This window comes from Homo sapiens, chromosome 8 (genome assembly GCF_000001405.40).
Source record: "Homo sapiens chromosome 8, GRCh38.p14 Primary Assembly".
Lineage (NCBI taxonomy): Eukaryota > Metazoa > Chordata > Mammalia > Primates > Hominidae > Homo > Homo sapiens.
This window is the reverse complement of record NC_000008.11, coordinates 20,969,536-20,996,097: the sequence shown is the minus strand read 5'-3', so window position 1 is coordinate 20,996,097 and position 26,562 is coordinate 20,969,536. Positions and strand designations below refer to the sequence as shown.

Sequence of the window (26,562 nt, the reverse complement as noted above, 5' to 3'; positions counted from 1 at the left end):
CAAGTCTCTGATTCTAAAGATGGGAAAGCTTAAGGGGCGACACTGCTCAGGTCAGTTCGTCAGAATGAGAGCAGGGAGCAGGCTTGAGACGCATGTCTGTTGATTCTTTTGTCTGATCCTGAGCATAGGTATCTCCACTTCCATACTTTCCCTCCCGTGACTCCTTGGCCTGAATGGTTTTCCCCACTCCCCTCCCCCTACAGACATCCTCTGTTCATTCAGGACCTAACTCAAGTCTTTTATTCCAAAAGGTCTTCCCCAACTACATCATGTCCATTTATCTTCCTTTCTCATGAACTCTCCTGAACATCATTGATACCATGGGCACATTCTGCACAAGGAGAGGATGTGCCTGGGCACCAGTTCCTGGTTGAGGGAGGGAACATGGAAATGAAATGGAAGGCTGGGGCTCCAGTCCTGGGTTTCATTTCTGACTAGCTGTGTAACCTGGATCAAGCTCTCCACTCCACCTGTCCTGTTTTCCCATCTATGAAATAAGCAGATTTGTCTGTGGTGGGGGATGACTGAGAGTCAGGGATGTAGGTGAAGGAGGTATGGGAGAAGGTATGCAAAACTGCTGATTACTAGGATTACGTCATCTCTGAGGTGAGTTAAAACAACTGCTGAGAACTGATATAGCTAGAGCTGGGCTTTCTTTTCTACCTTCTCCTTTCCCATCTTATCAGAAAGGGCTTCATGGAGTTGCCCAGGGAGAATGCAGCAACTGCCAGGACTGAAAGTCCAGAATGTGAACTTTGAAAACAGAACGTCCAGACTGAAACTCTGGTGATGATGATGACAATGATGATGATCTCAAAAAATTTTTGAATATTCATCATGTAGTAAATTTTATGTTAAGGCTTCACATGCGTAATCCTAACTACTCTTCACAGAAAAACAGGAACTGTTTTATTTGTTTTGCAAGTAAGGAAACAGAGGCTTACAGAGGTTAAATAATTTACCACTCTGCTAGCAGGCAGCATTTTGGGTTTTTAATTCACACTTTGTAATTACTACGGTTTGCACTCACTGCAAAGTTACACAATCTCTTCAAGACTCAGTTTCCTCCCTGAAAAAGATGGAAATAAAAATATGTATATGTTTGTTATTGGTGCTTTGTCTAAGTAATATCACATGTGTGGCATGCTTACTGTTGTACCTGGTCCATTTCAGAGTCTCAGTCACAGGCAGCTTCCTTCCTTACTCAATGAGATGTGTATGGTTTCATAGGGAACTGGTGCAGTGCCATAAAGCACCTTGCACTCTGGCCACTTTGGGATCAGTCTCCACCAGTGATTCTCTGTCCCATCTGCACGTTCTACATTAAATAGAAAAGCATTTACAGATGATTTAGCTCAAATATCTCACTTAACAGATGAGAAAACTGAGACCCCAAAAAGCCAGGGGTCTGCTTAAGATAGCATGGCTTTTTGTAGACACAGAAGGAATTTATATCCATGCCTCGTCCCCTCCAGGCAAGGTTCTTTCAGTAATCATCACATTACATGCATTACACATCAAATTGACCATATCTTTTTGCTGTTTTAAACTTTTTATTTTGGGATTATTATAGAGTGACATGCAGTTGCAAGAACTAATAAAGAGATTCCCTTTACTCAGTTTTCTCTAATGATAACATTCCGTGTAACTGTAGTACATAGCACAACCAGGGTATTGACATTGGTACAGGCAGAATACAGAGTCTTTGCATCACCCCAGGGATCCATCATGCCTTTGTATAGACACACTCACTTCCTTCTAATGACCCTCTCTTAACTCCTGGCAACCACTAATCCACTTCCATAATGTTTTTCAAGAATGTTCCATAATGAGGTTGCCTTTTTTGACTCAACAGAATTCTTTGGAAATTCCTTCAGATTGCCATATGTATTAATAGTTTGTTCCTTTCTATTGCTTAGGAGTGTTTCATGATATGGATGTACCACAGTTTGTTTAAACAATCATTTGCAGATGTCTTTCACATCTGTGTTGTTTCTATTTATTGACTATTATGGCTACGGCTGCTATGAAAATTCATGTATAAGTTTTTGTGTCAACAGAAGTCTTCATTTCTTTGGGATAAACATCCAGGAGTATGGTAGTTGCATGTTTACTTTTATTTTAAGAAACTGCCTAAATATTTCCCAGAGTGGTTGTATATTGCTTTTTATACTCTCATTACCAATTTGTGCGTAATCCAGTTTCTCTGTGTCATGGTCAACACTGGGTGGTGTCTCTATTTTTTTTCACTTTAGCCATTCAGTTAGATATCTAGTGATGTCTCATTGTGGTTTTAATTTGTATTCCCCATTGCCTAATGATGTTGAACATCTCATGTGGTTATTTGTGGTTATTTCCAACCTGTATACTCTTTGGTGAAATGTTTCTTCATGACTTTTTTTTTTTTTGAGACTGAGTCTCACTTTCTCACCCAGGCTGGAGTGCAGTGGTGCAATCTCAAATCACTGCACCCTCCATTTCCAGGGTTCAAGTGATTATCCTGCCTCAGCCTCCTGAGTAGCTGGGATTACAGTTGTATGCTACCACGTCCAGCCAATTTTTGTATTTTTAGTAGAGACAGGGTTTCACCATGTTGGCCAGGCTGGTCTTGGACTTCTGACCTTAGGTGATCCACCCACCTTGGCCTCCCAAAGTGCTGGGATTACAGGTGTAAGCCAAGGTGTCTGGCCCATGACTTTTGCCCATTTTGTAATTGGATTTTTTTTTTTTTTTTTTTTTTTACCATGGAGGTTTGAGATGTTTTCATATAATGTAGATATCCATTGTTGGAACTGTGGTTTGCAAATACTCTTGTCCAGTCACTAGCCCATGTTTTTATTGTATTAACAGGGCATATTGCAGAGCAAAAGCTTTTCACTTTAATAATGTTCAATTTATTATTATTTTTTGCCTGTGGAAGTCCAATTGTTCTAGCACCATTTGTTGAAAAGGCTATAATTCCTCCATTGAATTGCTCTTGTACTTTTGTCAAAAATCAATTGGCTTTATCTGGGTAGGCCTATTTCTGCATTCTGTATTCTGTTTCATTTACTTATGTGTCTATTCTGCCACAAGTCTTAGTTACTACAGCCATATAAAAATTCTTGAAATTGAGTAGACTAATTTCTTCCCATGCTCAGAATTGTTTTAGCTATTCTACCTCTTCTGCCTTTCCTTATAAATCTTAGAATAATCTTATCTACAACTATAAAAATCTTGCTAGGATTTTGATAGGAATTGAATTAAACCTGTATATCATTTTGCAGAGGATTAATATCCTTACATTGTGAAGTCTTCTGACCCATGAACATTGTATGTCCTTATTAGTTACTTAGATCTTCTTTGATTTCTTTCATCAGCATTTTGTTGTTTTCAGCATACAAGTCTTCAACATGATGGGCTAGATTTACACTTAAGGGCTTCATGTTTTCTGAGAGATTGTAAATGGTGTTGCATTTTTAATTTTGTTGTTCGTGTGTTTATTGCTAGTATATGAAATATAATTGATGTGTGTTTATCTTGTATTCTAGGATCTTCTGTAAGTTTTTCTGTCATTGTTTTGAAGAGGGAGTTGGGAATTACTGTGTATATAGTCGTGTCATCTGCAAATAGGGTCAGTCTTTTCCCCTAAGATTGGGAACAAGATAAAAATGTCTTCTCTCACCATTCTTGTTTGACATAATGCTAGATGTTCTAGCCAGTACAGTAAGGTAAGAAAATACAAGACATAGAGATTAGAAAGGAAGAAATAAAACTGACCTTATTTGCAGATGTCAGTCTTTCACCACTAATATAATGTTACCTGTGGATTTTTGTAGATACTGATTATGAAGTTGAGAAAGTCTCCTTCTATTCCTATTTCTCTGAGAAATTTTATCAGATGGTTTTATTAAAATATTCTATGAAATTCTTTTTCTGTATTGAGTTATGTGATAATATGATTTTTCTTCTCTATCTGGCTAATAATGTAGTTCCTTTTTAGCTGGCTTAGAAGTCTGGTTCAAAGTATTGGACCAGTCTCGTATCCTTGAAATAAACCCCACTTGGCCATGGTGTAGCATTAATTTTTATATATTGCTGAACTCTATATGCTAATATTTTGCTAGGAATTTTTTGTCTATATTTCTAAAAGATATTATTCTATAGTTCTCTCTCTCTCTTTCTTGTACTGTCTTTGTATGGTTTTGCTATCAGGGTAAAACTATCTTCATAAAATTAATTGGGATGACTCCCCCTCACTGTTTCACTTCTGTTTTCCAGAAAATATTTTGTAGAATTTATGTTAATTCTTTCTTAAATATTTGGTAGAATATTTTAATAAAACCACCTAGGCCTAGAGATTTTATTTTTAAGAGTTTTTAAATTATGAATTTGATGTATTTAATAGGTATAGGATATACAAATTTCCTATTTCTTATTAGATGAGTAGTGGTAATTTGTGTTTTTACAGGAGTCAGTCAGTTTCATCTAAAGTATCAACATAATGTGTGTAGAGTTGGACACAATATTTCTATATTATTTTCTGAGGTCTACAGAGTCTATAGTGATAGCCCATATTTCACTCCTGATATTGACACTGAGTCTTCACTCTTTTTTGTCAGTCTAGCTAGAGGTTTGCCAATTTTATTCATTTTGTCAAAGAATCATTTCTTTGTTTTATTGATTTTTCTTTTTTTTTCTGTTTTTATTGATTTCTACTCTTTGTTATTTCATTTTCTTCTGCTTGCTTTGGATTCTTTTGCTCTTCCTTTTCTAAGTTCTTATGGTGGGAGCTTAAATGATAGATTTGAGAGCTTTCCTCATTCCCAATATATATATTTAGTGCCATAAATTTCCTTCTCAGAACTGCTTTAGTTATGTACCAAAAGTTTTGGTACATCGTATTTTGGTTTTCATTTAGCTCAACATATTTTTGCAATTTCATGTGACAGTTCCTCTTTGACTCATGGGTTACTTAAAAGTGCATTGTTTAGAAAACTGGAGGAATCACGTTACCTGACTTCAAATTGTACTACAGAGCTATAGTAACCCAAACAGCATGGTACTGGACCAATGGAACAGAATAGAAAATCCAGAAATAAATCCACACACCTACAGTGAATTCATTTTTGAAAAAAGGTGCCAAGAACATACACTGGGGAAAAGAAAGGCTCTTCAATAAACAGTGCTGGGAAAACTGGATATCTACATGCAGAATAATGAAACTAGACTCCTATCTCTTGCCATACATAAAAATCAAATCAAAATGGATTAAACAATTAAATCTAAGACTCCAAACTATGCAACTACTACAAGAAAACACTGGGGACACTCTCCAGGACATCAGTGTGGGCAACAATTTCCTGAGTAATACCCCATAAACACAGGCAACCAAAGCAAAAATGGACAAATGGGATTATATCAAGTCAAAAAGCTTCTGCACAGGGCCAAGCGCAGTGGCTCACACCTGTAATCCCAGCACTTTGGACGGCCAAAGTAGGTGGATCACGAGGTCGGCAGATCGAGACCATCCTGGCCAACATGGTGAGACCTCATCTGTAGTAAAATACAAAAAAAAAAAAAAAAAAAATTAGCCTGGTGTGGTGGTATGTGCCTGTTGTTGCAGCTACTTCGGAGGCTGAGGCAGGGGAATCGCTTGAACCCAGAAGGCGGAGGTTGAGGTGAGCCAAGATGGCACCACTGTACTCCAGCCTGGTGACACAGAGAGACTCCATTTCAAAAATAAAATAAAATAAAATAAAATAAAATAAAATAAAATAAAATAAAATAAAATAAAATCTTCTGCATAGCAAAGGAAACAGTCAACAAAGTGAAGAGACAAGCTACAGAATGAGGGAAAATATTTGCAACGTACCCATCTGACAAGGGATTCATAGCCAGAATATATAAGGAGCTCACACAACTCCGTAGGAAAAAAATCAAATAATTCGATCAAAAAAATTGGCAAAAGATTTGAATAGACATTTCTCCAAAAAAGACAAATGGCAAACAGGCATATGAAAAGGGGCTCAACATTACTGATCAACAGAGAAATGCAAATCAAAATTATAATAAGAAATGAGATAACATCTCACCCTAGTTAAAATGTCTTATATCCAAAAGACAAGCAATAACAAATGGTGGTGAGGATGTGGAAGAGAAAAGACCCCTTGTACACAGCTGGTGTTGGTGGGAATGTAAATTAGTATAACTACTATGAAGAACAGTTTGGAGGTTGCTTAAAAAGTTAGAAATAAAGCTACCATGCAATGCAGCAATCCCAGTGCTGGGTATGTATGCAAAAGGAAGAAAATATGCATATTGAAGAGATACCTGCAATTCCATGTTTGTTGCATCACTGCTCACAATAGCTAAGATTTGGAAGTGGCTTAAGTGTCCATCAACAGATAAATAGATAAAGAAAATCTGGTACGTATATACAGTGGAGTACTATTCAGCCATAAAAAAGAATAAGACTCAATCATTTGCAACAACATGGATGGAACTGGAGGTCATTATGTTAAGTAAAATAAGCTAGGCATAGAAAGGCAAACATTGCATGTTCTCACTTATTTGTGGAATCAAAATCAAAAGAATTGAATTTACAGAGATAGAGAGCAGAAGGATGGTTAACAGAGGCTGGGAAGGGGAGTTCAGGGTGGTGGGGAGGTAGGAATGGTTAGTGGGCACAAAAAAAATAGAACAAATGAATAGACCTAGTATTTGATAGCTCAGTAGGGTGACTATAGTCAATAATAATTTAACTGTACATTTTAAAATAACTAAAAGTATAATTGGATTGTTTGTAACAAAAGATAAATGCTTGAAAGGATGGATACACCATTTTCCACGATGTTATTATTATGCATCACACATTTGTATCAAAATATCTCATGTACTCCTCAAATATATACATGTACTATGTACCCATAAAAATGAAAAATAAAAAAATTACAAAAAGACACAATAAAATAAAATTTTTTAAGTGCACTGTTTAGTTTCCAAGTGTTTGGAGATTTTCTGGTTATAATTTTACTACTGATTTCTAGTTTGATTCCATTGTAGCAGAAGGTACTCTTTACAATCCAAATATTTAAAGTTTGTTAAAGTTTGCCTTATAGCCCAGGATATGATTTACATTGGTGTATATTCCATGAGAACTTTAAAAGAATGCATATTCTACTGTTGTTGGGTGGAATGTTATACATGTTGATTATATTCTGTTGGTTGATGACATCGTTGACTTCTTTTATATCCTTGCTGATTTTCTGTCTAGTTTTTAAATCACTTGCTAAAAGAGGAACATTGAAGTCTCAAACTATAATTGTGGGTTTACCTAGTTCTACTTTTAATTGTGTAAGTTGTTGCTTCACATATTTTACAGCTCTGTGGTTGGTACATACATATGTAGGATTGATATGTCTACTTGCAGGATTGACCCTTTTATTATTGTATATATCAGACTCTGTCTCCGGTAATTTTCTTTGCTCTGAATCCTATTTCATTGGATTTTAATATAGTCATCCTTTCTTTCTGTTGGTTAATGCTTTCACAATATGTCTTTTTCCATCCTTTTACATTCTACTTATTTATGTAGTGATATTTGAAGTAAATTTTATAGATGGCCTATAGTTGGGTCATGTTTTAATATATTTTACCAGTCTCTGTCTTTTAATTGGTATATTTAGATCATTTACATTTAATATAATTATTTATATGCTAGGGCTCAAGCCTGCATTTTTGCTTGTTTTCTATGTTTTCTTCTTGTGTTCCTTGTTTATATTTCTCTGTTTGGTTTTTCCTGTCTTCTTGTGTGTTAATTGAACATTTTATGGAATTCATTTTTCATTTATCTGTGGTGCTTTTAAATGTATGGGCTCCTTGGAGGTTACCTTAGGTAATAAGTTAAATAGACTTTTCTCAGTCTACTTGAATCATTTTATCAGTCCAAATGAAAAAGTTTTATCTCCCTTTATATCCTTGTACACTCCCTTGTTTCTAATATAATTTAAATATTTTCTCTACATTTAGAACTACTTCAGATGGTATAATTTTTCATTCAACAATCAAATATAGTTTAGAAAACTCAAGAAGAAAATGAGACTATTGTATTTACCTTTTTTTTTTTTTTTTTTTTTTTTTGCTTACCACGTTCTTTCTTCCTCCCTACATAAATGTAGATTATTGGTACAGTCCCACAAGTTCCTGAGTATCTATAGGTTTTTTGTTTGCTTGTTAGATTTTTTCTTCCAGTATACTTTTTTCTTTGTTGTTAAGATTGGGTGATTTTTTTTTTTTTCTTTTTTTGTGAGGCAGAATCTTGTTCTGTCACCTAGGCTGGAGTGCAGTGGTGCAATCTCAGCTCACTGCAACCTCTACCTCCTGGGTTTAAACAATTCTCCTGCCTCAGCCTCCCAAGTAGCTGGGATTACAGGTGCACACCACCATGCCTGGCTAATTTTTAGTTTTGTATTTTTAGTAGAGACAGGGTTTCACCATGTTGCCCAGGCTGGTTTTGAACTCCTGACGTCAAGTGATCTGCCCATCTTGGCCTCCCAAAATGTTGTGATTACAGGCATGAGCCACTGCACCCGGTCAAGATTGGATGATTTCTATTGTTCTATCTTTCATTTCATGAATTCCTTCCTTGGACTCTTTCATTCTTTTGAGCCCATTTATTAAGCTTATTTCAATTATTGTATTTTGCATTTCTGAAATTTCCATTTTGTTCTCTTTGATAGCTCCTATTTCTTTACTGAGACATTCTATATATATTTCTTTTCCAGTGGGCTCATGATTGCTTGAGTATTTTTATGATGGTTGCTTTAACATCATTGTCAGATAATTGTAACATCTCTGCCACATTTGCTGTTGGCATCTATTGGTTGCCTTTTTTCATTTAATTTGAGGTGTTCCTGATGCTTGGTATGACAAGCAATTTTCTATTGAAACCTGGATATTTTGGGTTATGTTATGAAACTATGAATTTTGTTTAAAAATCCTATTTTAGCTAGCTTTCTTTAATACCATCCAGGTAGGGAAGGGGTTGTGCTATCTTGCTGCTGCCGACTACAAATAAAAGTCCAGGTTTCCAACTTGGGTTCTGTTGCTACACCCAAGGAGTGTGCTTCTTGTTACAGAGATGGAAGTTCTGCTCCCTGCTAGGCCTCCATTGATAAGTCTCTGGTTGGGAGGGGTTGGAGCAACTCATTACTATTCCTTCTGTGTTCTATACTGACAGTAAGTGGGCAGCAGAGTGTGGCTTACTATCCCCTGGTAGGTAATGCTGAGTTGATGTTCAGGCCCCCTACTTGCTCTTCTCTGCTACTACCCCAGCAGAAAAGCTGGGGTTCCTCAGTATACCTAACAAGACTGTAAGCCTAGGCTCCCTACTCTACTTTTGCTGGCATGAGTGGAGGTAGGATTACTGTCTTTTCTGTAGCGTTTGACTGAAGTAGAGCAGTTATTGTCTAAAAGTTTTATGTCTTTCTAGGTTGTTCTTTTCCTACTTGTTTGGCTAGAAAAAGGAGACTTTTGTTTAATCCTCACCTACCTATTGGTATTTCTGGGTTGCTGGTTTTTCAGTTCCAAATAGGAGTGTACAAAGCAAAAAGGAAATTCACGAAACTTACCCTCATGTTGTTCCTTAGGTTCTGAAGTCCCTAGCCAGTTTCCTTCTTTTCTTCATTTTTCAGAGTTTTCTTACATCTGTTTTATATATAACATGCAGGATTTTTAGTTACTTTGTGGGAGGAATAAGGAAAAGTATGTCTAGTCCATGGAAATCCCAGATATATATTTTATCATTGCTGTTGTTGTATCAGAGGGAAATTCCATTTAGGTAAGTGAATTTTCAAAGGAAAACTTTGTTAGGAATACATAAAATAGTGTCAGGAAATATGGGGCCAAATCTGTCAATCCAGCAACATTTTCGATTGTCTTCCTGGCATCATCTTTTTAGGCAGTCCTCATTTTTCAGTGCCTCTTAACTCATGCCTCATAAATGGTCTTCTTCTGGAGTGTGAGTTGTCTGTAACCTCCCTCTGAAACTACATATAAAGTTTTGTAGTTCGTGCATGTACATGTTTATCTGTACAGGTTATAAACTTTTCAAAAGAGTCTCCAAGGGCATATAGCTTCTCAAAGTTAAGACTCTCTGCTCTAGGAACTGTAAATGTTACCCTTTTTCAAAATACCATCACCATGCTTCCCAGGCAGGCCGCTTTGCCTCTCCTGTAGTATGCTTTGGCATTATGCCATTGAGAGGCTCAGATTAATAGTCTAACAAATGTCATTATGGGGATTTTGCTAAGAATGTTTTCCTCTAGAGCATTGTGTCCTCTTCATGAGGGCCCATGGAAGAAATTCCTCTTGAGCATCATCATCAGGAAGAGCTGAGTTCTGCTTTTCTGCTTACAACTGACATTCTTTAAAAAAATTTCTTTCTATTATAGGCAGTTTGCTTCTTGTAGCCATGTGTTTTATCCTTTGTTTTGGCTGTTGGGAAACTCAGATTCACATTTTGAAACACTCAATTGCCACAGTACCGGATCTAATGGTCTGCATTCGATGGTCTGTATGCTAGTTTTTCCCTTATTTTTATTGCCATATTTTCCTCTCATAACCTCCTTAACCAATAACTCTCTTGTGTATTTATTTCATTCTTTTATATTGTGGGCATTTTATACACAATGTCAAATACTTATAGTAACGAGCAAGAATAGATAGATGGATAGACAAATAGACAAGTAGACTTATCCCTTGAGCAGTGTTGAGGTCTAGTCTATCCAAATGCCATGGCCTCAGCACAGTGACCAGGGTGCCTCGTGCTCAGTCATCATTCCCAAGCTGCCTTTTTACTGTTGCACATACCTGCAAGGGAAGAATGCTTGTCCCTAAGCTGAAGTCCTGCCTTACCCCCAAATTCCCAAGTGGGCTTGTTTGAAGGTGGTAAGAAAAGAGGGTACCTCCTTAATAGGGTAGAAAGAGTGATAAGTCCTGGAGCCTACTTCCTGTCTCTTTTCATCAGCACCACCTGCTTGATGGGCTTTCTTCACTATAGACCCTTCGAAAGTAGGTCCAAAATATACAAGTGGAAGAGAGGAAGCTACCCTCTTCCTATGTTTCCTATCTTCTCTCTAGCCAATCACTCTCTCAAGAGATCATTTTATAGGATCATTTTATTCTGTTCCCCACTCCATTGTCAAGGCAGGTGGAGCTGCAGTGCTTTAGGCGATCACGGCTCCTGGCCACTTGCAGCATGAAGGGGAGTTGTGCTCACTTTGGGGCTTCCTGGTTGTCCCCAAAAAACCACGGAGACTTTCACAACTAGCGTATACTATTTCTAGTATTTACACTTGGTGTCTTCCCCTGCAGAATGGAAATAATAAAATATTAACTTCCTCACAGGGTTGAGGTGACCTGTAACTTCAGTGGTAATCTCCACCTGTAATCCTTACCTATGATTCTCACCTTACAGGTGAAGATTTAAATTAGATAATATAATTAAAATTGCTGTGTAAGTTATAAGACATCATAAAGATGCTAGTTTAGATTACTATCATTATTATTATCATTGCCACCAAACACACCTATTTCTTTCCCACCTGGGAGTCTTGGCTCATACTGTTCCTCTGCAGTGTGTCTCTCTCCTGGCCTCAGGTCAGTCTTAGTCTGTCCCTCAAATACTTCTTACTCCCCAGCCTGTCAGTGGAGTGTCAACTTCTCCTCTATCTCATTTGTGTTCTGTAAGACCTTAAAGAACTAAACTAGTGATTCTCAAACCATAGAGCACTTAAGTATCACCACAGAAACTTGTTAAAATAAAGATTCCTGAACTCTACCCTATTTTTTAACAGGAATCTCAGGCATTTCTAATACAGGTGGCCCAACTGCTAAGCCCCTTCCTGACCATAGAGGATCCCATGGTCAGGAAATATAGGTCTTTATGTTAGTTTGCCAGGGCTGCCATAAGGTACAATGGAGGGTGTGGCTTAAACAACAGAAGTTTACCTTCCTTGTGATTCTGGAGGCTGGAAGTCAGAGATCAAGGTGTTGGCAGCGTTGGTTTCTTCTGAGGGCCGTAAGGTCAGGATCTGTTCCAGGCCTCTTTCCTTGGCTTACAGATGACTATCTTCTCCCTGTGTCTCTTTATATCATTTTCCCTCTGTGGTTGTGTCTGTGTCCCAATTTCCTCATTTTATAAGGACACCAATCACACTGGATTAGGAACCACCCTCATGAGCTCATTTCAATGTAATTTCCTTTTTAAAGACCCTATCTCCAAACATGGTCACATTCCCTTATGAGGGGTTAGGACTTCAACATATGAATTCTAAAGGGGCACAATTCAGTCAGTAATAGTTAGACACCCAAGGCAGTATTTCTGAAGACCCTTTGGAAAAATGAACAGGATTTATGTATCTGTTAGGACTGAGTTTAGCTGCAAATAACAGAAAGAAAACAGCAGTAGCTTAACAAAATAGAGGCTATTTTTTTCACCTGACAATAAATCTCAGGTGAAAGTCCAGAACTGGTTGAACAGTCCATGATACCTGCAGGGGACTGGCTCCTTTTATTATTCTGTCCTGGCCTCCTTATCATGTGACTCTCTTTGGAGGCCAGAATATGAATGCTGCATCCATGGGAATCTCTTTTCCATTCTGGTCAGGAAGAAGGGGTAAGAATAAGACAAAAGCTATGTGTCAGCTGAGTCAGCTGTTGTACACCTATTTGTATATACAAATATATTGATAGGTACATATACAACAGACTTCCGGGAAGTACAGCCCGGAGATACTCACTTCTACCTCATTGGCCACTACTAGTTCATATGTCCATGATAGGTAGGAGGGAGGACGTATGCCAGGAGACTCAATAAGACAAAGAGAGATGCAGAAGGTAGCACAGACAAGGTCAGATGTTAGAAATCAGGAAAAGCAAACAAAACAAAACTAGGATAATAGGGAGAAAGAGAAATGCATCCCAGACAAGAGATGTAGGCAATTAGTGTTCTTTGCGAAAGACCTTGCAGCAAGAACTGTGTGTGGCATTCTGGAGCAGCCATTCCTGTAGATCTAACCCTGGAGCAGGGATGACCTTCACCTTTCTATGGGGCTGGATCTGCTTTCCCAGGTGGAAGCAGTTAGTCACTCTCAGCCAGAATGTAATTGCTAATACCACTCCCACTTACTCGTAAATTGTCCTATAGTTAACCTTCATCTGGGCTCCAGCTGGAAGCCCACTTCTGCTGTGCAGAAGGCACACCCAGCAGTGCTGAAATCTCCCCAGGTTTTGTCTCTGGAATTGCTGCTTCTGACAAGATGGTGCTAGACAGGATGAAAAAGAGACTCCCACTTCTGGCACATATTCTTTTCCACGGTGCACGGGGCTAAGATGATTGAGCAATTATACTTTGACAGGTTTATTTCTCAAAATATCCTAGGATGACTTTGTTGCACACAGCCTCCTCTTCAGGAATCATGGGAAGTACTGCTGATGTCTGTCATGATGTTTGGGTGCAGACAGAATGAGAGTGCACAGCAAAGAGGTTAAGTCAGCCCAGAGGCTCCTCTCTGAGTCAGCACCAGGAGCTGAGACAACTTATCCTTTTAGTGGATCACTTCTTTTCAGGTCTCAGATCCATAATCTCCACTACATAGAGGAAACTCTGATACTAAAACTGCAGGTCTGTAAACATACACCTTTTAGATTACCCATCGATTTCTTGAAAGATGCAAAGAAAGATGAGATGGGTCAGTCCTGCAAGTCCCTCTCAATGGCTCCAAGTATGGTAAAACCTAGAATTGTCCTGGACACCATCATTGCTAGCTAAAGAGCCTTTCCTACAAGGTGGGCCCTGTGATGTGAGGTTCAAGGGCAGCAGATGGTTAAAAATGGTTATGCACAAATATTGTCTGCATGAGCACAGATGGATGCCAGATAATGGAGACAACACCATAAAGAGAGGCAGGAAGTTTGAGCTCTGCTGGTTACCTGTGAGAGTCTCCATACCAGTAACTTTGCCTCTCTGGTTTGATCTTGATGCTTCCTTCAGTCTCCAGGAGACTGCCCTTCTTTCACTCACTGAATTTCTGCCTTACATAATTTTTTGGCAATGCCCAACAGGTAAAGGAATGGAGGCAGAGTGAACCTAGGTCAGGCTAAGAGGTTAGATGTGCAATATTAGCTCTGTAAGGACCCAGAAGACAAGAATGCAGGGTTTTGAATCCAAGAGGAAGTGATGAGTACCAATCCAAGGGTGTCGCCAAATGAAAGAGATAGGAATAACTAAACTGTTTTTCCTACTTTTGCACTCAACACTCGAAACGATACTTCATGTCTGACACCAGATGTGTCAGGGTTTACCAAGCAGTTCTCCAATGGACCTCAACTCCTAAAAGTTAGCCCAGTTCTAACATTATCTACCAGCAGTCAGCATCCATTCCCACAAGTTAAGGGCTCAGTTCCACAAGACTGCCTCCACTTCACATGTCTGTTGTGAGTCTCAGGTTGACCAGCTATAAATCAGGGTTCTCCTCTTTAGGTTCAATTAATTTACTAGGATGGCTCACAGAATGTAAAGAAACACCTTATTCTGTGTACTCATTTATTATAAAGGATATCACAAAGGATACAGATGAACAGTCAGATGGAAGAGATGCACAGGGCAAGGTAGGGGAGAAGGGGCGTGGAGCTTCCATGGATACATGTATAGTTCCTTGCACACCTTGGAGCTATCCAAAGTGTGCCACCCTCTAGGAACTTCCATGCATTCAGCAATCCAGAAGCCTTCTGAACTTTGTTCTTTTAGGTTTTGATGGAGGCTTTATTATGTAAGTATGATTGCTTAAATCATTGGCCATTGGTGAGCAATTCAACCTTCAGCCCTTCTTCCCTCCCCAGAGGTTGGAGGGGTGGGACCAATAGTTCCAACCCTCTAATCACATGGCTGGTTCCCGAAGCTATCCAGGAGCCCACCAGGAGTCACCTCATTAAAACAAAAGATGTTCCTATCACCCAGGAAATTCCAAGGGATGCAGGGGCTCTGTGTTACAAGATCCTGTCTCTCAGGAAATTACAAAGGTCTTAGGAGCTCTGTGTCAGGATGTGGGGCCAAAGGCCAAATATTAGAATAAAAGATCTCCAAGTTTCCCTACCCATAAGAGTTTTAGGAGCTCTATGTCAAGAACTGGACAGCGACATATATATATATATATATATATATATATTTCTTATTATTTCACACCGAGGGACTCACGTGAGGCAGACAAGTTGTTACAGACAGATCTCAGCCTGATCTGTCTGAGGCCCAGATCTCAACCTGACATCAAGCACTGGTGCTTCTGGACTTAGGGAAGTGGAAGTGCCAAGGCAGCCGGAGAGCATCAAAGGAGTGGGGCACAGGCTCCCAGGTCTGGAAGGGTGGCTGACACTGAGACCCCCAGGTGGGGAGGCACGCCAGGTTGAAAGGGCCTGCCTGATAAAGCGTTTCCCTAAAAACCACCAAGGTCAAGGGTCCTAAAATTCAAATGTCTCCAGGGGCAAGGCAAGTAATAAAACAATAGCTAGGACGTCCTTACAGTAAAGCAAGCTAGGTTCAGGAAAAAATTTCTTGAGTACTCTATTTGGAAATTAAGCAGCAACATTGTTTCACTTCCTTCAAAAAAACATATTCTTGCCCCTGGATTGAGATCTTTGCTTTCTAGGTCTATTTTTGTTTTCCCACTTCTAATAGAGATTGTGGAGACGAAAGCGTACATGTTCTTTGAAAAAATGGCAAATCCTGTTGGCCTCTTTCCACAAGTAGTGAGGATCAAATTGTAGAGTATGTCCCCTGACGTATACTGTTTAAAGGAAGCTGACTGCTGTTACTCCACACCTCTAGACTGCCATTATGTTGAACATCGGCTCAATACTGTCAGACCTTCAGATGTTTTTAAGAAAGTCAAAATCCGGATTTTTAGCTGAAATCTCCAAATATTTAAATGTTGGCTTTTAAGAAAAAAAAGTCATAAAATACACACAAAATATGTCAGTCAGCTACAAGTGTGTGACTTCTATCGTGGAGGGAGGCAGTGGCTTTGGCTTTTAGGAACTGGGGAGTGGCCAAGGTAGGGGTTGAAGCTGATTACTGATTTGTCCTAAAAGAACAGATTGCATAAAATTACCTAGATTCTATAGCATCCATTGCTTGATATATTCAGAAGGCATAGCTTTTTGCAGGCACCCCTCAGTACAGCAGGCAGTATTGACAGGTGCCTGCAGACATAAGCTGCCTGGCATCCACAAGAATTTCCCATGTGTATGTAAGGATTGGGTGGTAGAAAGTAAAACATTTTGACATTAGGCTGAGCTTCTCTATTTTCCAATATACTATGCATACTATTCCCCCTAGGAATCAATGCTTATGAATTCATTAATTCCTGGAGACTGTGATATTTGCCGGAATACAAAAAACAATCAGCTCCAACCAGAACATAAATTGCAATGTAGAAAAACTTTTGTAATTTAATTTTCAAGTGAATATAAAGAGGTTGTACGTGACTATAGCTTCAATGCACTAATAATAGGATGCAAATGAGATAGGAACATATTCATTCTCAGGAGGTGGGCAGGAGGGGTGGTGAGGGAGAGACAGCTTGCTGGTTGGAAGAAAGGCCACCTCTGTCCATTCTGTATCTATGTAAAGCCAATAAAAGGAAAGTGAACCAAGTGTCTAGGCTATTAATTACTGACTTAATATTAAGATGCAGATTTCCCACTGCTGAGATCCAACTTGGCTAATTTAATAGTAAGAAACTGTGCCTGTGTTTGTGTACGTGCACAGGTACACTGTGATGTGTGGAGACATCCAGCCACCTTTGCAGGCAGCTGAGCAAACTGTGCTCTGCTGGCTTAGCGTGTGTCTACATGGGCAATCCTGCTTGTTCATTTATATTGAAGACTCATTAGAGCAGTCAAACAACTCTGGATTTGCTTTTCCTGAGCAATTGAACTGAGCAGATAAATTAAATCTGTATTTAGGCTCAATGTAGGATAAGCCATCCCTTCCCTTCTTTTAAGGACTGTCTAAGAAAAGACAGTCCTTAAAGAAATAAGAACACAGCACTCTGAGGTCCTTGGAGACTCTGCTGGGTATCCCACTGTGCAAGGCAAGTCATGCTGAGGGCCCGATGGTGAGGACACTACCTTCCTACTCTGCTCTCTCTCAGACATCTCTGCACCCTGGCTCCCGGGCATCCAGGCTCCGAGGGGATATGGTCATGCTTTGTCCTTTTAAGGAAAAATCCATGTTACAGGAACACAGGCTTGGTAGAAGCTTTCAGGGCCATACTCTCACTTTATGATGCAAAAAACTGAGGGGAGAATGGGTGAGAGCGAGACAGCGAGAGAGCGAGAGCGAGCAAGCTTGTCCAACATCAACTCCTCAATCTAAGGCTTCTGATTTCAAGCTAGCTCTGTTTCCCAAGCTGCTGTCCCTTAAGAAATCTGTTCCTGGCATGCCCCACTTTGGCTCTCTAGGGTCACGTCCACTCTAGGTTGAAATGTTTGGACTTTTGGGGGACTTTTCAGTCTCCTCTAGTCTTTGGAGAACATATGCTTCCAACCTTTCTTTCTAAGAATCATCCAGGAGGCTGGGTCTTCTGAGCTGCTTCAGGGGGCATGCAGAGTGTGGGGTAGGCTCAGTCCTACCATGGGGCCCAGTGGGGTGATGCATGAGCCCCTCCCCTCCAGAGTCGTTTAGAGGAGATGACACTGTTGCTGGGGAAAATGTTTCTTGCACCTCTTTCCAGTAACAACTCCTTTACCCACCCACAACTTCACCACTTTTAGCTCCCCTTCTTTCTGGAAGAGGAAAGTGCTTTCTTCTTTGTGGATAAATCTAGTGTCGCTTGATTAATACATCAGCAATCGACCAGGATGACAGATGTACATAGTGGCTAAAGATGCAGCTGCTGGTGTCAGACCCAGTTTGAGTTCTAGCTCTGACACTTATTAGCTGTGTGACCCCAGCTAAGTTACTTAGTGTCTTTGAATCTATTTTTCTAGACATAACATTGGAAGTGATAATATTCTTGGTTGCTATGAGGATTAAATGCGATAATGCATGTAAAGTACTTAGAATAGTGCCTGGCACATAGTAAGCATCCTGTAAACATTCCTTACGAATACTATTACTATATCTTATTAGTATACTCTCCTCTGCAGAAGCACCTGCATTTTCAGAGAGACCTGTCTGTGAGAAGGTGATGCTTAACTCAACAGGATGCCACACCTGATCATGAGCAGTTGGGTATCAGGCACCATCAGGAGGTCTTTATTTTGGAGGAGAGACTTATTGGAGCACCTCAACATTCTCCCACACTGGATCCCTGGCATTACTCTGTACATAAGGCCAGGCAAGCCAAGACGGCAGATGCCTAGCAAATGGGCCAGAGTTGGCCGTCTTTGTGAACCACAAACAAAGTAGCCCAAGAGGGAGAAGTCACAGCAACAGAGAGCTTGGCTGGGAGTTTCTCGGGAAGCTGGAGGCAGCCCAGGGCCTCGTGTTCCTAGAGCTTTCCGCCTCTCTTTCCTGGATTTTTTCCAGCCCTAAGCGGTTCTATTTTTCAGCTTTGGCTCTTGCCTGACATTTGAAGGATGAGCTTTTAACGATACTAAATTAATAACGGTTATAGAGTGTATTTGAGAAGATCATAAAAAAATCAGTAATGTCATCATGTCAAGCAAAGTTTCTGATGGTTTTTTTAAATTATGCATGTCTTTTATTTTTTTCCCTTCCAACATTGATCCAGAGCTTTCAGAGGGACATTAATCTACCTGACCACATCAGAATCCTTAATTATTCGCGTCCAGCAATATATCTAATTCTACAGAAATTCCCCATGGACTTGCCATTGTTGACGTGGAACCCGGCAGCTCAGCTCTGTCCATCTGCTCACCAAGCCCAGCCCCTCACACCCCTCAAAGACACAAGCTACCTCCCTGACTTCTTCTCTGCTTTGACACACAGATGCCCAAGCTTACAATTCAGGGAAGTATAATTTCTCCTAGTGTGATAACTGTAGAGGCGATTTCCCCCTTGCGGAAGGACAAACTGGGGCTGAGGAAAGGATAGTAAACTTAGGGATTGTGAGCCCTCATCTGCAGGACTCTGGAGCTGGAGACCTTGAGCAAGTTGTTCAGACTTCCGCCTCTGCTTGTGCCTTAGTCAAATGAACTCTGTGGCTGCCTCACTGACCTCAGTGCTGATGAGAGCCAATTAAAGTCATGGAAAGCCCATTTTAGACCAGCAGAGCCAGGGAAGTGCAAAAGAATAAAGAAAATACTAACGCTGGTAATGACAGTCATGAGAATATGAGATAGAGTCACTCAGTGGCCGGTAAGGCCTTTGCTGGAGAGAGTGGAAGCCTCTCCCAGTTACTGAGAGGGGCAGACAAGAGTGCAGAGCTTCATTGCATAGGCGTCTTTTAGTGGAGAAAACAGTTACTATGGTGATGCTTTGTAAAGCCTTCATGGGGCAGCTTTCCAATGCTCTCAAGTGGGTAGGGAGGGAGGCTAGGGCAGAACAGTTCAAATTGGCAGTGTGAGTGAGCTTAGATGCCCCATTCCTCTGTCCTCCACAAGGCGATGGGCAGGACAGGTAGGATCTCAAAATCGGTTCCATTCTGTGTCTCTGTCTCTCTCCTCTCTGGCTTACTCTGTATCTCCTCCCTTTTCCTCTCCCTCCTGTTCTCTTCTCCTTTCTTCCTCCCTCCTTTTCTCCAGTCAACACATGATCTGCTAAGTGTCACTCAACAAGCATTCTAGTGAGAGTTTTGACTGTGTCATTTGAGGACTGGAAATCACTGCTGCCGTTAGGGAGGCTTGGAGTCTAGTTCAGAAGAGAGGACTCATTCAGGGCTACTAGGGAGGGGTGAAGGATTCACCGCCTCAATTTCAGGAACCCACATTTGTCAGGGCATGTTTCTAAAATTATTTTTTACTATGACCTCAAAAAAAAAAAAACCTCTGTGAAACAAACAGTCAAGAGGTTTTGGGAATTTGGGTAGTTAACTCTAGAAGAGTTGAATTTGGACCCTCTGATATGGTTTGGCTGTGTCCCACCCAAATCTCATCTTGAATTGTAGCTCCCATAATTCCCATATGCTGTGGGAGGGACCTTGTGGGAGATAATTGAATCATGAGGGCAGTTTCCCCCATACTGCTCTCATAGTAGTGAATAAGTCTGACAAGATCTGATGGTTTTATAAGGGATTTCCCCTTTCGCTTGTCTTTCTCTCTTGCCTGCCACCATGTAAGGCATGACTTTGCTCCTCCTCACCTTCTGCCATGATTGTGAGGCCTCCCTAGTCATGTGGAACTGTGAGTTCATTAAACCTCTTTTTCTTATAAATTACCCAGTCTGGGGTATGTCTTCATCAGCAGCATGAAAACAGACTAATACACCCTCCAACAGGAGGGGAAGGCAGGCATTACTTGGTAGATGGGGAACTGACTACAAGCAAGGAAATGGTTGGTGCTGCCTGGGCCCATGCATCAGTGGACTGGAAGGCAGGAAGGAGAGAGGCTTTTATGGGGGCAGGGGAGGCAGGTCACCACGAAGAACCACTCAAATGTTCTCACCCTAGCCCAAGGTCAACAACTCATTTCCTAGTTCCTAGAATCCATATTCAGTATATTCTTGTAAGTGAATGAAAGAATAAATGCATGCAGGAAAGGCTGCCTTGAATAAAAGAGGTAGAACAGTGGAAGTACAAGAATTCGAAAAGCACAGCCATCCAAGGGCCGAAAAGTATTGTAGCTCTAGTAGGAGAAGTTTAATAGGGAGAGATGGCAACGCTAGCCCCACAATCGTGCCCATATCAACCCATGTTCATAGGAGAAACTGACCAGCAGTTGAAATTCCAATTCTGACTGGGGAGCTTAAAAAAATATTGATCTTAGCCTCAGTGACTGATTTAATTGGTCTGGGGTGTGGACTGGACTTTGGACATTTTAATAGTTCTCCAGTGATCCTAATGAACAGATAGATAGATTTGGGAATCATCAGTTCAGGAAGAAAATAAGACTAATTGAAACTAGGGTTTGTACTGGGAAGCCATGGTAGGGTGTTTTATTGAGTGACTTATAATAAACCCATTTTCTCAAGAAAATTATAGGTCTGGGAATGTAGGTTTGTTCTGAAAGGAAATGAGAAGTGTCAGCAAATAAATGGGTTCCACGTGTACAGCTAAGTTCCCGTGAAATCCTCTAAGGTCAGTCACATCCTTATATAATCCTAGGCTGGAGTCACAAGGTCAAGTCTCAGCCCTGTAAGGAGCCATAAGACTGCAAGTTAGCAAATGTTAACTCTTATTGCACACCTACTCTCTCAGACTCAGAGAGGGCCAAATCCACTCACACTATATATATTAATGTTCCCAGAAACCCTTAAAGGTGGGAACTCCAGAGTAGACATACTAGAGGCAGTGGAGTTCCAGTTTAGATGTCACTTCCTTAGAGGGACTTCCCTGAAGTCCAGAGAAGTCTTGCTTCAGAATTCTCACTGCTTTCCACTTGCTGAGAGCAATCTGCTAATGACTTCTAATTACCATGTTGTTGCCATCCTCATTGGAGTCCATGAGTGGAGAAAGCCGTGTGTTTTCTTCAACCTCATCTTGGTATCTCTGCTGCCTGACGTAAGGCTTGGCTTCGAGTAGTGGCTCTCTAAGCCTATATAAAGAGGAAGGCTACAAATAAATGAATTAATGAATAGATGAATGATTATATAGTTCCATGCACTGGCACGAATAGGAAGAGAAGCTATTCGGTTGGTATGGAACATATTCCTGGTGTCACAAATGACACTACAGGGGCAGCCACAGGGTAAAACTAAGCCGAATGAGTTTGTATCCAATGTGCCATTCTTTCCCATGAGTCCCTGACAGCCCCATCTTCCAGTCAGCACTACAGGGCCTTGTGGGTAAAGAAATGCACTTTGCTGCCCCAGGGGAGTGAGTCTGAGGCTCTTCAGGCAGCAGCTGGATTTGAAGGCTTTCTTTTCTGCTCTGGGATTAGGGGACCAAAGGACCCTGGACCACAGACTTTAAGGAGGCCCTCACTCTCAGGTGCTCACCCTGCCCTCGCATGCCCCTGAGGGCCAGCGCCTCCTTTAAGTCCTGCCTCACAGGCACCTGTCCTTTCTCACCCTAGTCCAGGCCTTGCTATGACTTCATAAAGAGCACACAGGACTTGGAGCCAAATGAACCTGGTTGCAGTGAGAGGTTTCAGCCCCCATCAGCCAAATGCTCTTGAGCAGGCCTCATCTGGAAAATAATGACTGTGTCTCAAAGGATGACGAAGAGGAATAAATGAGCAATGTGTTTCAATGAGACAGTATCGGTGAGTGAGTCTAATGCTATTTGAACTGGTTTATCAGTTCCATCGCATGCAGTATCCCTCTCGCCCCAGCCGTTCAAGAGGAGCAGCCACTACGATGGGTGGCAGGTGAGGGAGGGTCTGGGAGAGTCGCTGTTCCTAGTGGTGGCTGCGCTGGTCACCGTAGCAGTGCTCCATGTCCAGCCAGCACTTCTGACTGAAAGACCAACCACCTTCCTTTCTCTTACGGCATTCTGTAGTTCTGTCTGTCGCTTGCCAGGAACCTCCTGTCCCACCCACTTTGCCAGGTCTCTGGTTTCTAATGTAGGCTCCATCCTTTCTCCATTTAGCAGCAGAAGTGGGGCACGGCTTGGCGGCAGGGGTGGGTGCTGTGGCACTTCCAGTTCCACAGTCAGCTGTGGACCTGAGCTTTGCAAACTGCCAGGGGATAGTTCATTCACCAGCATTGAGTGGAACCATGACTGGCCACTCATCCGGTCACCATTGTCCAACTGCCGGCCCAGGCCGGTGCTGCAAGATCATCATCACCCCAGAACAAGAGGCATTTCCCTCTCTAACACCTCCCATCATCAGTGGTGTGCAGCAGCTCCACACTGCTGCCCATTTTCCCCTCTTAGAGTTTCCTTGCTGCCCTTCATATATTTGGTGATTTTTGCAGATAGTCCCAATTTCAAATACTCTCTCCCTCTGGAGCAAAGCTTGGCGAGCTCCTCACTCAACCCATCTTCTCCTTCATTTTGTTCATGCTGTCCCTTAGCATGGAGTGGCCCTAGCTCCCATCTGCCAAAGCTAGCAGATGCTGTCGGTGTCCCATTCACATCCCCTCGGGCTACCTGCCCGCAGTCCTCAGCTCTCTGTGTCTCTTGGCCTGAGAACATTCTCTGGCCAAGGGAATGTCAGAAAGTTCCTGACAGGAAGCACTGTCAATTCTATGTGGCACTGGAATGAGCAGATATACACCGCAGCTTCCTGGCCCCTCAGCAGGGTTGAGCCCAGCTGCAAACAAACAGGGGTGGCTTGCACAACAATGGACCCTTTCTGGGCCTTGCTGCCTGTCCTGACTCATATTCTCACTCTCTCCCTTGTGCTTGATGAGAACATCTGCGCATCTCTCAGGCAAACTCCTTTTGCCCAGCCTTTGTCTGCCTCTGGAGGCATTGAGGCTGGAACACCCAGGATGCTCATCCTCCTGGACCCATCGCAGCCTCAGCTCCTCCATGGCCTCATCTACGGGCCTTTCCCACATCCTGTGCCTCCTCCTTACACCAGCATGTCACTGAGACAGCGCAGTCTAAACTGTGCTTACATCCTGCTTCGGGTTACCTTGATGTTATTCTCCAGCTGGGAGGGGCCCACAACTTCTGCTCCTTTGGAATCCCCCAGCACTGGCACTGGCAGTGTATACATGGGGCCTGGGAACACCTTGATTGTAGGTATTCATGGAGGCACAATGCCCTGCTTAGGAGAAAGGCAATGGTGTATCTTTTCATCTGAATAGGACTTGACAGTTTAAAAGCATTATTACATTTACTTGCTACCGCCTTTGATTCCAACAAAGCACAAGTTTGTTACTTTTCTCATGTGAAAAGTGAGGTGGATGAAGCTGGAGGGGTGGTGAGTTCCTCATGGTCACATAGCTAAGTGTTTAGAAGCATGTCGTGAGCTCTTCCCCTCCAAACCTTGCCTCATTCCACGGTGCTGGCTGCTCCCATCTCATATGCAGATGGTTACACTGGGTCCTCACGATGACTCTGCAAGGCTGCTATTATTACACTCATTCTGCAGATGAGAAAATTGTGACTCAGAGTATAAATTGCTAAAAGACACTCGATCAGAAAGTGGCAGCAGTAAGACTTAAAACTCGGGGACTATGCTCCTATGTGGGAGAGAGAGTATGAGAGAAGCCTTCCCCTGATTCCTTCACCAGCCCTGCTTGTTGCTTTTCTAATGGTTTTGCACATGCACGGAGGGGGTTGGAAAAGGAAAAAGTGAATGTGACAATGTAGTCACTCTTTTTTGGAGACGAAGAAGTCTCGCTCTGTTGCCCAGGGTGGAGTGCGGTGGTGTGATCTCAGCTCACTGCAGCCCCTGCCTCCCAGGTTCAAGGAATTATCCTGCCTCAGTCTCCTGAGTAGCTGAGACTACAGGCGTGTGCCACCACACTTGGCTAATTTTTGTATTTTTAGTAGAGATGAGGTTTCACCATGGTGGTCAGGCTGGTCTTGAACTCCTGACCTCGTGATCTGCCTGCCTCAGCCTCCCAAAGTGCTGGGATTACAGGTATGAGCCACCGCGTCCGGCCAACAATGTAGTCACTCTTAATCCCCAAAATCGGTTCTTCCGGCTGGCTTTATGACGCCACGGTGTTTCAAACTTTTACTTTCTCTCTCTTCCAACACAACATGGCTTGTGGGTTCTGCATTTCTCCCTCCCCCACAAATTTCTACCATGCCTAAGACTGAACAGGTGCTTTCCATTATTGCTGAGTTTGCAAAAGCAGACCTCCCCTGTGGGACTGGCAGCAAGTGTTCCAGCCCCACCCCTGCAGGACATGATACTCACAATTCTCATCCACGATGGAGGAGCATTTCAAGCATTTTTTCTTTTTTGAGATGGAGCCTCACTCTCTCGCCCAGGCTGGAATGCAGTGGTGTGATCTTGGCTCACTGCACTCCCACCTTTCAGGCTCAAGAGATTCTCCTGCCTCAGCCTCCTGAGTAGCTGGGATTACAGGCACCTGCCAGCATACCCAGCTAATTTTTGCATTTTTAGTAAAGATGGAGTTTCACCATGTTGGCCAGGCTGGTCTTCATCAAGGTATTTTTGTTGCTTATACCTCTGTGTAAGTATCAGAGCCTTTCTTGGAAACAGTGACAGGAGTAGGCATTGAGGAAAGACAAAGGACTTGACTTCACATTTTTGTTTTGTTTGGTTCCCAGTAGGGTAGATAGGCAGTGAATGTAATTTGCCAATGAACTCTTTGATGAAAGCACTTAGCCACTGTTTGCTTGGCATGCCCAGAATTTAATCTTTTTTTTTCCTTAAAACTCCATATGGAATAATCCAGAGACCAATCAATTAGAGAAGTGTTTTCCACTGTAGTGGAAAAAGTATTTGAAGTCAGCTCAGCTGACTTGATCTCTACAATTTGTTCACTGACTTTATTATTTACTCAATGTGTGAGTCAAGGTAGGTCACTTAACCTTTGTGAGGCTCCACACCCTCATTGATAAGATGACAATAGCATAAAAAAGATTACAGCTGGTATAGAGTTGGTTCTTGACACATATTTGTTACAGGAATGAATGAATGAATTTCAAGGTTAAGAGTATTAAATGAGATAAATGTGGGTGAAATGCTGTAGATTGGCAACTCATCAATGTTTTTCTTTCAGTCTGGTTTAGAAAGCTAAAAGTCGGTAGGTACCACTGAAGGAGATGTTTATGTGGGGAGAGGATGTATGTGGGTTGGGGGTAGGGTGGAAGAGACTGCTGCAAGTGCTAAGTTCTGGAGGAAGAAGCCAGGTGGGAAATCACCTCTCATGGCCTTTAATGGCCTCTCCAGCCAGTGTCCCCAGCTCTGGCTGTCACTTCTTGACAGCCCCAAAAAATCCTAGGGTGAAAAGTTGTTTACATGACAACACTCCATCCCAAGTAAGAGATCCAGGCAGTCACCTTCTCTTCTTCCCTCCCCTTTCAAGCATCAAGTGGGGAGAAATCAGGTTTCTGTGTTCTCTCTCCCAGGAGGTAGCTGTGGCACAGGAAGGAGAGAGGGGATGCAGAGATCCTGAGTGGAGGCATTTCTTTGAGCTACTGACCTCCTGATTCCATTGCACAGGAGGCACAGCCAGAACGTCCATGACTGTAGCTTGGTCCCCATCGGGCTGGGTCTGAAGTAGCCATGGACACACTGTCTTCTCCATCTTCCACCCATATGGCAGCTGCTGTGGGGAGGGGGGTACCACGCCACTCCCATCTCATCTATTTGGTCTCATCCCAAGTGTCACTTCCTCTTGGAAGTCTTTCCTGACAGCCCCTCCTCCAACAGACTAAGGGGCTCTGGTCACGAGCATCCATAGCTGCTGATGGCCCCTTTCCATGGTTTGTAAGGACACTTTGACTGCACTTTTAAGCAAGAAACTTGTCTGCCTAATTTACAGCTGAAATCCTGGTGTCCAGCACAGTGCCTGGTACCTAGTAA

The 26,562-nt window shown here is 41.9% G+C and overlaps 2 long non-coding RNA genes across 2 annotated transcripts in view; one reads left to right on the top strand and one right to left on the bottom strand.

Moving 5' to 3' along the window:
* Positions 1-978: 978 nt before the first annotated feature.
* Positions 979-22,112, bottom strand: LINC02153 (long intergenic non-protein coding RNA 2153). Its single transcript, NR_033894.1, has 5 exons — positions 21,445-22,112; positions 11,992-12,641; positions 9,612-9,687; positions 1,160-1,318; positions 979-1,069 (listed from the first exon to the last, which is right to left on the bottom strand). It is a non-coding gene; the product is annotated as a long intergenic non-protein coding RNA 2153 (long non-coding RNA).
* LOC105379316 (uncharacterized) overlaps positions 7,226-26,562 on the top strand; it is a 36,228-nt gene continuing 16,891 nt past the window's right edge. Inside the window, exons 1-2 of the long non-coding RNA XR_007060845.1 lie at positions 7,226-7,335; positions 22,177-22,365. This is a non-coding gene — a long non-coding RNA (uncharacterized LOC105379316). The remainder of the gene's footprint in view (positions 7,336-22,176; positions 22,366-26,562) is intronic.